This window comes from Homo sapiens, chromosome 16 (assembly GCF_000001405.40).
Source record: "Homo sapiens chromosome 16, GRCh38.p14 Primary Assembly".
Classification (NCBI taxonomy): Eukaryota; Metazoa; Chordata; class Mammalia; order Primates; family Hominidae; genus Homo; species Homo sapiens.
This window is the reverse complement of record NC_000016.10, coordinates 61,314,550-61,324,941: the sequence shown is the minus strand read 5'-3', so window position 1 is coordinate 61,324,941 and position 10,392 is coordinate 61,314,550. Positions and strand designations below refer to the sequence as shown.

Below are 10,392 nucleotides of genomic sequence, written 5' to 3'. Positions count from 1 at the left end.
GTGAGTTGAGGGTTGGAAGATTATTGTCGGGCTCTAGGTTCAATGTCATCGCATCAGGACAACACTAGCCCTCACCACCTCTATCATTGAGGGACAGCAGGCCACCAAGTAACAAGTGGAAGTATAAGTTAAAGCACTTTGGGAAGACCACAACAATCTGTGGAGCCTGTAATACTGGCTATAGGAAACTTCCTTTTGTTTGCCTTACTGAGACAAATAGAAAATATTATGGCCTGAATATTAAATTTTAAAAATATATGGTTTTGTGTAAATGGTTTACAAAACTGATCTTCTTTAACATGAAAAATTGACCCTGAATTAAAATGTTTCTAGTCCTGTTCTCTTGAAAACCTAATGAAGATACAATATTAGCTGTGTTTCCAGGCCAGGTTTCTAAAAACGTTCCATGATGGAGAGTTCTTATCTTGACTCGGAGGACTGTGAATTAACTATAAATACTTAGAGGATTTATTCTCCCTAGAGTGAAGTTACTCTTGTGACTGCATGTGCTCTTTTTTAGGATCCATTCGGGTGATGCACATACAACTATTATAACAAACTCATCTTCTATGTGAAACATGGAATTTCTAAGCCAGTAACTCTTGCTTCTATTAATGTGACTGATCCCCTTTCATCTGTGCTGTTACTTGGCAGGGGGCAAAGAGAACAGTCCCTGGAAAATGGCTTGAACTCCTGAGGACAATCATTGAAGAGGCTCCCGTCATAGTAACCTGCTGAGAGGGCACTCATTGCTGTCGTGCTGTGTTTCTGTCCTCGTGCCCTAATGAATGAAGCTATTGCCAAAAGTGGCTTATTTGGGTCTTGTGAATTTGTTTGTCTAGTTGAGCCTACAGTCACCTGGAGTGAATCTTGCAGAGAATAATCAGCAGTTGGCTAGAGTTCTAGACAAAATAGATTGGGATGTTTACGATGTTAAGATGGGAGCTGATCCATCTCAATTTGATGGTAAAATTCTGCAGCATGTGATAAGAGATATGTCTTCTCATTTTGAATATTGAGTAAGGACGTAAGTGTGGCAAGTTTGTGCTGAGAAGAAATACTGCCCACTGTACTCACTGAGACTGGCCTGACCCCTAATTCAGCTATTGTTTGGCAAGAAGATGTGACACTGCCATTGGATTGATGCAATCTTAAGCCAAATACCATTTGCAGAGATTACAGTAGATACAGGTCAAACCATGCACTGACGCCTCGACAAGGGCCCAACGCAGACACTCAAATTCACAGATCTCTTGTGAAAGGAGTTATAGCCAGCTTGCTTTAGGCAGACAGTAAGGGAAGAGTCCCTGGAGAACCTCTGACTCATGTTTTGTGCAGATAAGGGAACTTGCACGGGGGGCTTGCCTAAACATGCCCTCAGCGGACAAAGGGCCTAATGTGCACTGAGGGAACGGGGTCAAATCACCAGAAATCTGTGTTTTATACAATTAGGGGACTTACCCACATCAGCTTATATATAAAAACCCTTGTATTCAACTGTTAAGGGGACAACCAACAACCTGCTTTTTAGGAGCCCTCTCTTTGCTGAAAGCATTTTTTTTTTTTTTTTTTTTTTTTTTGCCTAATAAATTCTATTCCATTCACTATACGGTGTCCACTTGCCTAATTTTTCCTGGTGATGAAACAAGAACCCAGACTTTAGCTAAAGGAGCAAAAATCCTGCATCACTTGTTTGTGACTAAAACTGTAGTCAGTTAAATGGGCTGGAACTGTCATGTTGGTATTGGCTGTTGTTCCACTTGGGCTTCATTCTGTACTAAGATGTACCTTTGGACCCTACAGCACTCAAAAAGCTGGAGATGAGTGAGAGGAAGCAAGAAAAATATTATGTGCTGAGGCATTATTCCAGAAAGGCTATCAGCAGACTGACATCCAAAGGGCATTTGATGACATTGGCAGGACCTTGCCAAAACTCTGATATTTCAAAGATACACCTTTGTGGAATGTCTCAGTCCCCATGTGTGTGGTGTACTCTGACCATGTCCTGAGGAGTCTCTGAAGGATGGCAGTAATAGCAATGTGAAAGCATTTCTGCAGCTAGCTACAAGATGGTACCTGCAGATAAATCTTTTTTTTTTTTTTTTTTTTTTTTTTTTTTTTTTTTTTTGAGACGGAGTCTCGCTCTGTCGCCCAGGCTGGAGTGCAGTGGCGGGATCTCGGCTCACTGCAAGCTCCGCCTCCCGGGTTCACGCCATTCTCCTGCCTCAGCCTCCCAAGTAGCTGGGACTACAGGCGCCCGCCACTACGCCCGGCTAATTTTTTGTATTTTTAGTAGAGACGGGGTTTCACCGTTTTAGCCGGGATGGTCTCGATCTCCTGACCTCGTGATCCGCCCGCCTCGGCCTCCCAAAGTGCTGGGACTACAGGCGTGAGCCACCGCGCCCGGCCACCTACAGATAAATCTTAAGCCATAGTTTTGTACACCGATTTAACTACACACCCACTGCCAATGTTGGGACTGCAATTTCAGTTTGACATGCCAAATCAGAAGAATAACACTGTTCTTTGTTGTCATAGGTGTATAACTGTGCCTTCAGATTTGATGAAACCCTAGATTTACCTATGCTACCCCTGAAAGAACACTTATGCTAAAAGAAATAAAATATTTACTGATCTCTGCTTGTTGTCATTTAATGCTATTTGATGTAAATTTGCCTTATGATCATCAGGACAATCAAACATTGTGAGACCTATAAAACTATTTGTTCTTTCCCAAAATAGTTCAACTAATTAGGGAATGAGGAGGATTCTAATACCCTTTAGATACTTGTGGTTCAAATCCTCATGGTCAAATGTCTATTGACTTGCTTTTTCTATGGCAAAAGTATTAGCACTTGGAGGTGGACTTTGAGTAAGGGGCCAAAGTTTTTCCCTTTTTTATTGCACAGTTGATCTTGGGTCAAGATTCTGGCTGTATTCTCCTGGAAGACCTGTAATCCTAAAATGTCAGCTGCCTTCCTGTGTGCCTGTTCCTTAATTTTAAAGTCATCCTGAGACTGGTAGAAGGCATCTCATCCAAGGAAACTACGAATGAACTGCAACTACTTTCTGGGAAACCAGAGCTTTGTCAGAATCTTTCCTAACTTGGGATTCTTTGGATATGAAGTTTCTAAGCCAAGATGGCTCCAACAAATGTGACCTCATGCCCTCATACCTGAGAAGAAACTTGGATAGAGACACAAAGAATAGTTTTTGGGTCACTGGATGAATTTCTTTGAAGACTTCTGTTGAATAAGCATATTTAATGCTGTCCTGGCATGCTCTGTTGTTTTCTCTCCTTTTATCTGTCAATGCCAAATAGGGCTACTTAATTCTTGTGAATTTAAGTATCTAGCTGAGCCAAAATCCTCAAGAGTAGACTTTACAATATTTAAATATGTTAGGTATGATACTGACATTACTGTTCTATAAAAATAGTATTTTACAATTTTTATTATAGACATATGTTTATATATTTTTATGTCATATAATGACGTACATAGAGATAGAGAGGTAGAGAGATACACTGATGTTAAGTGGAAGTCTAATGCCATGATGCTCAAGGTACATTTTCAAATATTTAAAGGAACTTACAAAAAATATTTTAAAAAAGAATAATTTAAGAAAATGGATTAATACCTGTATAATTATCAAAACTGAGTAGTGGCTAAGTAAATCTTTTTGTACAGTTACCTCCGTTAATGTAAATTTATTTTTTTCAAAACTAAAATAAAATTTAATTTTTTAAGTAATTAATTTGATCTTGGTTATTTTAAGTGTCAGTGGACAGGTTTTTTTTTTTAGCCTTAGAAAATTCATAGAAAAAGTTCGCTTATACAGTCTGAAGGAATAAAATAGGTCTTGGACTAAAACACTGGCCTAATCTTTTAACAATTGACATTAGTTGTGAAAGAAGGACTCAGGCTTGCATGTACAGATTTTATGGGCCTGAAGTTACTCACATGACCAGGTAGTAAAAATGGGAGCACATAATTCCTAATGAGAAGTTCAAAGCCCAACAGACTGAAGTATTAAAATGCTCACATGTACATACAACATTATTCTATTCAGGATCAAGTTGTGCAAATCAGGCACATTAAATATATTTGGTAAAACTATGTGTAAGATAACTTTGTCTCTATAAGATGCAAAACAAAATTCATAGTGTAAAATAATCATAAAAAAGAAAATTTGTTCACATATATTTATGGATGTACCCTCTCATTTATTAGTTATTAATTAATAGGCACAGTTTCCAAGATGAGATATCTCACACCCCAGAGTCTGGGTTCAAGCTGTAAATTTTGTTCTTTAAACATAGTTTACTTAAGTACATTTTTTAAAATGTTTAAACCTTTTAAAATTTTTTGAAGAAATACTTCAATAATTTGCAAAAGAATCCTAATTAAGATAACCTAAACTAGCAATAGTTCATTCTAGCTTGATATTTAAAATTCTGTATTTTATTATTCTTCCGTATTAATAATATCATGCACCAATTTAATCTACACACAAAAAATCAGCAGATAAGCAAATGGGATTCCAAATTATTTTAATTTTCAAAGTAACATGCCTCTGGATTTCTACCCACAAAGGGGATTAGACAAATTTAGAAATCTGATTTTAGGCATGTCTTATTAACTTAAACCATTAAAAAATTCATCAGCATGCACTATAGTAAGTATGCATTATTTTAAAAGACTTTTTTAAAAGCACTTACAGGTTCACAGCAAAACATAGAGGTACAGAGATTTCTCATATGCTACCTGCCTCCACACAGGCATAGACTTCCCCCATTATCAACATTCCCCACCAAGGAGGTACAATTGTGACAATTATAAAAGGTGGTACCATTGTTACAATGTATAAACCTACATTGACACAACGTAGTCTATAATTTACTTTGAGTTATTTTTTTGAAAAGGGTCGTTGCTTTATTTTTTGCAAGTGGATGCCCAGTGGTTACAGCACCATTTGTTGAAAAGACTATATTTCCTCCGTTGTACTGCCTTTGCTCCTTTATCAAAGATCAGTTGATAATATTTATGTGGGTCTATTTCTAGGCTATTTTCTTCCATTGATCTATCCATTGTTTATTCTTTCAATACTACATTGTTTTTATTACGGTAACTTAATAGTAAATCTTGAAGTTGAATAGTGTGAGTTCTCCAACTTTGTTCTTCTTCTTCTATGTTGTGTAGGCTAGTCTTAGTCTTTTTCCTCCCTATATAAACTTTAGAATCACTTTGTTGATATCCACAAAATAACTTGCTGGGATTTTGAGTTGGATTGTATGGAATCTATTTAGATTAAGTTGGAAAGAATTGAAATCTTGAAATTTTAAGCCTTCTTATCCATGAATGTGGAATAACTCTCCATTTACTTAGTTCTTTTTTTTTTATTTTTTTCATCAAGTATTGTTATTGTTGGTATTTAAGAAAGTGATTGACTTCACTGGATTAAACTTGTATTCTGCAATCTTGCTACAACCTCTTATTATTTCCAGAAGTTTTTCTTGTCGAGTCTTTCATATTTTCTACATAATCATGACATCAGCAAACAAACACAGTTTTATTTCTTCCTTTACAGTCTGTATTGCTTTTACTACCTTTTATTATTTTATTGCATCTGCTGGGACTTTCAGTACAATGTTTAAAAAGAGTGATTAGAGGCCGGGCACGGTGGCTCAAGCCTGTAATCCCAGCACTTTGGGAGGCCGAGGCAGGCGGATCACAAGGTCAGGAGATCGAGACCAACCTGGCTAACATGGTGAAACCCCGTCTCTACTAAAAATCCAAAAAATTAGCCAGGTGTGGCGGTGTGCACCTGTAGTCCCAGCTACTTGGGAGGCTGAGGTGGGAGAATGGTGTGGACCTGGGAGGCGGAGCTTGCAGTGAGCCGAGATCACGCTACTGCACTCCAGCCTGGGTGACAGAGCGAGACTGTCTCAAAAAAAAAAAAAAAAAAAAAAAGAGTGATTAGAGGGTAGCTCCTTGTTTTGTTCCTAATCTTAGTGGAAAAGTTTCTAGTATACCATCATTAAGTATGTTGTTAACTGTAGGTTTTTTGTAGATAACCATTATCAAGTTGAGGGAATTCTCTTCTATTCCTAGTTTACTGAAAGTTTTCATCATGAATGGGTCTTGGATGTTGGATTTTGTCAAATGCTTTTTCCGCGTGCATTTATGATGATCATGTGTTTTTTTTGTTTTGGGCTGTTCATGTGATGCATTATGTTCATCAGTTTTCAAGTGTTGAGCCAGGTATACATAAGTGGAATAAATCTCATTTGGTCGTGCTGTATAATTATTTTAAATCATTTTTGGATTTGATTTGCTAATATTTTGTGGATACTTTGTGAATCTATGTTCATGTGATAATTTGTCTTTATTTTTCTTTTTCTTTTCTTGTAATGTCTTAGCCTGGTTTTAGATTAATTCCAGCCCCATAGAATGAGTTTAAAAATATTCCCTCTGCTTCTATCCTTTGAATGAGATTATAGACCATTGGTATTTTTTTTTCTTAAAGGGGTGGTAGAATCCACCACTGAACTCATCTGGGCCTGGCGATTTCTGTTTTGGAAGGGTATAATTATTAATTCGATTTCTTTAATAGATGTAAGGCTATTAAGATTGCTTATTTCTACTTGCGTGAGTTTTGACAGATTGTGTCTCTCAAGGCATTGGTTCATTTAATCGAGATTAGCAAATTTGTGGAAATAGAGTTATTCTTAGTATATGGCCCATGAAATATGTAGGGAAGCCCCTCATTTCTGATATTTGTAATTTGTATCCTTGCTTTTTTTCTTAGATTGTCTGAATTATTATTGATTTTATTCTTTTATTGATCTTTGAAAGCACTAGCTTTTGAGTTTTTTAAAAAATTTTCTCAGCCGGGCACAGTGGCTCACGCCTGTAATCCCAGCACTTTGGAAGGCCAAGGCAGGTGGATCACGAGGTCAGGTGATAGAGACCATCCTGGCTAACAGTGAAACCCCGTCTCTACTAAAAATACAAAAAATTAGCCAGGCGTGGTGGCGGGCACCTCTAGTCCCAGCTACTCTAGAGGCTGAAGCAGGAGAATCGCATGAACCTGGGAGGCAGAGCTTGCAGTGAGCCGAGATTGGCCACTGCACACTCCGGCCTGGGCGACAGAACCAGACTCTGTCTAAAAAAAAAAAAAAAAAAAAAAAAAAAAAAAAATTTCTCTTGATTTTGTCTTTCCAATTTCATTGATTTCTGCTCTAATTCTTTTTGGTTTTCTTCTCCTTACAATGCATTGAATTTGCTCTTATTTTTCTAGTTTCCTAGGCAGAAACTTAGATTATTGATTTTAGATTATTCTTCTTCCAATATGTGCATACAGTGCTATGCATTTTGCTCTAAACACCCGACATATTTCATAAGCATCCCACTGCTTGTGTTGCATTTCATTAATTGTGATGTTGGATTTTAATTTTTATTTAGTTTAAATTTTTAAAAATTATTTTGAATTTTTTTCTTTGACACAGTTATTATTTAAAAATGTGTTTCTTAATCTCCACATATTTTGAGATTTTCCAGTTATTTTTCTGTTATTGATTTTTAGTTTAATTCCAATGTGGTCTAAGAACAGACATGGTATGATTTTTATTATTTAAAATTTGTTAAGTGGTGCCTTATGGCCAAGAATGTGGCCTATCTTGGTGAATGTCTCATGTGAACTTGAGAAAAATGTATATTCAGCTCTTGGCTAAAGTAGTCTGATTCCAATTATATTCAGTTGACTGATGGTGTTGCTGAGTTTAACTGTGTCCTTACTGATTTATTGTCTGTTGGATCTGTCCACTTCTGACAGAGGGATATTGAAACCTCCAACAATATTAGATTCATTCACTTCTCCCTCTTCTTTTAGTTTTTGCCTCACATAGTTTGACACTCTTTCATTAGGCACATACACATAAGAGTTGTTATGTTTTCTGAAGAATTGAGCCCTTTATTATTACACCATGTCCTTCTTTATCCCGGATAACTTTCCTTGCTCTGAAGTTAATATAGCTATTGTCACATTTTTTTCATTAGTGTTAGCATGGTATATCTTTCACCGTTTACTTTTTATATATGCGTGTCCTTATATTTAAAGTAGGTTTCTTGTAGAGAACATATAATTGGTTCTTGTTTCTTGATATGCTCTAACAATTTTTGTCTTTCAATTACTGCATTTAGACCACTGACATTTTAAGTGATTATTGATATAATATAATTAATTGCTATTAGGCTGGGTATGGTGGCTCATACCAGTAATCCCAGCAATTTGGGAGGCTGAGGCAAGCAGATCACTGGAGGTCAGGAGTTTGAGACCAGCTGGCCTACATGGTGAAACCACATCTCTACTAAAAATACAAAAATTAGCTGGGTATGATGGCACATACCTGTAATCCCAGCTACTTGGGAGGCTGAGTCAGGAGAATCTCTTGAACCTGGGAGGTAGAGGCTTCAGTGAGCCAAGATTGTGCCACTGCACTCCAGCCCGGGTGACAGATTGAGACTCTGTCTTAAAAAAAAGAATTAATAGCTTAAAAATAATTAATTGCCAGCTATCATATTTGTTACCATTTTCTATTAATTGGCATTGTTCCTTGTTCCTATTTTCAGTTATAGTTCTTTTTTGTATGTATTTTTTACTTTTTCTAGTGGTTGCATTAAAGTCTGCAATATACTACAACTAATCCATGTCCAAACAACACTGTACTTTATGGTTAGTGTGAGTAACTTATAATAACAAAATAATTCTGATATCTCCCTTTGATACCTTATGTCATTGCTGTTATTTCATTTATATACAAACAGATAGGCATCCATGCACATGCACACACGCACACACACACAGACACACACACACAGGCATACATAATAAAATATATTTTAGCTATTATTATTTTGAAAAGAGAGTTATCTGTTGTATCAATTAAGGATAAAAACAAAAAGTTGTTATTTTACCTGCATTTATTCTCCACGGCTCTTCTTTTCCTTATTATATATGCATTTCTAAACTACATTATTTTCCTTCTTTCTAAGGATCTCCTTTTGACATATCTTGTAGATAACATATTCCCTCAGTTTTTATTTGTTAAGACAGGCTTATATTTCTGCATTACTTTTGAAGGATAATTTTACAGGGTACAGAATTCTAGGTTGGTAGTTTTATTCTCTGAACACTACATACTTCACTCCATTCTCTTCTTGCCTGAAAAATTTTCCATGAAGTTGGAGGCAATTGTTACCTTCCTTCTCTATAGGTAACATTTCCTCCACTGCTGGCTTCTTTTAGAATTTTTTCCTTATCTTTGATTTTCTGTAGTTTAAAAATAATATGCCTAGGTATAGTTTTACTTGCTTTTATCTTGCTTTGTGCCCTCTTAGCTTTTTGGGGTTTTGTTTTTTCAGGCTTTCTGTTTGTTTTTGTTTTTGTTTTGTTTTGTTTTGAGACTGGATCTTCTCAGTCTGTTGCTCAGACTGAAGTGCAAGTGGCATGAGTATGGCTCACTGCAGCCTGGAACTCCTAGGCTTACACAATCCTCAATCCTCCCACCTCAGCCTCTCAAGTAGCCGGGGACATAAACTTATGCCACCACACCTGGCTAATTTTTTTTTTTTTTTTTGATAGAGGTTTTGCTCTTGTTGCCTAGGCTGGAGTGCAATGGCACGATCTTGGCTCACTGCAACTTCTGCCTCCCGGGTTCAAGCGATTCTCCTGCTTCAGTCTCCCGAGTAGCTGGGATTACAGGCATGCACCACCACGCCCGGCTAATTTTGTATTTTTAGTAGAGATGGGGTTTCTTCCATGTTGGACAGGTCGGTCTCAAGCTCCTGACCTCAGGTGATCTGCCTGCCTTGGCCTCTCAAAGTGCTGGTATTACAGGCGTGAGCCACCATGCCCAGCCACACCTGGCTAATTTTTAAAATATTTTTTATAGAGACAAGATCTCATCATGTTGCTCTGGCTGTTCTCAAAATCTTGGGCTCAAGCAACCGCCTGTCTTGGCCTTTCAAAGTGCTGGGATTATAGGCAAGGTTCAATGCGCCTAGCCACCTTCTTGTATCTGTGGTTATTGTTTTACATGTTTCTTCTCTTCCTTCTAATATTTCTGCTCTTTCAGGTATTCCCATTATAGTTGTTAAACCTTTTGTAGTTGTCCAACTGTCTTGGAAATTCTCTTTTGTTTTCAGTCTTTTTTATTTTTTCTTCATGCTCTTCAGCTTTGGAGATTTGTGTTGAGATATCCTCAATCTCAGAAATTATTTTTTCCATTGTGTCAACTAGTACTAATCCCATCAAAGGCATTCTTCATTTCTGTTACTGTATTTTTGATCTCTAGTATTTCTTTTTGATCCTTTTTTAGAATTTCCATCT

At 37.0% G+C, this 10,392-nt stretch overlaps 1 annotated feature.

The window, feature by feature from the left end:
* Nucleotides 473-1,009: an enhancer, noted in NCBI's record as "NANOG hESC enhancer chr16:61357837-61358373 (GRCh37/hg19 assembly coordinates)". NCBI's record gives its function as "activates a minimal SCP1, AML or CMV promoter by ChIP-STARR-seq in primed H9 embryonic stem cells {active_cell/tissue: H9 hESC(primed)}" and the evidence as "EXISTENCE:reporter gene assay evidence [ECO:0000049][PMID:30033119]".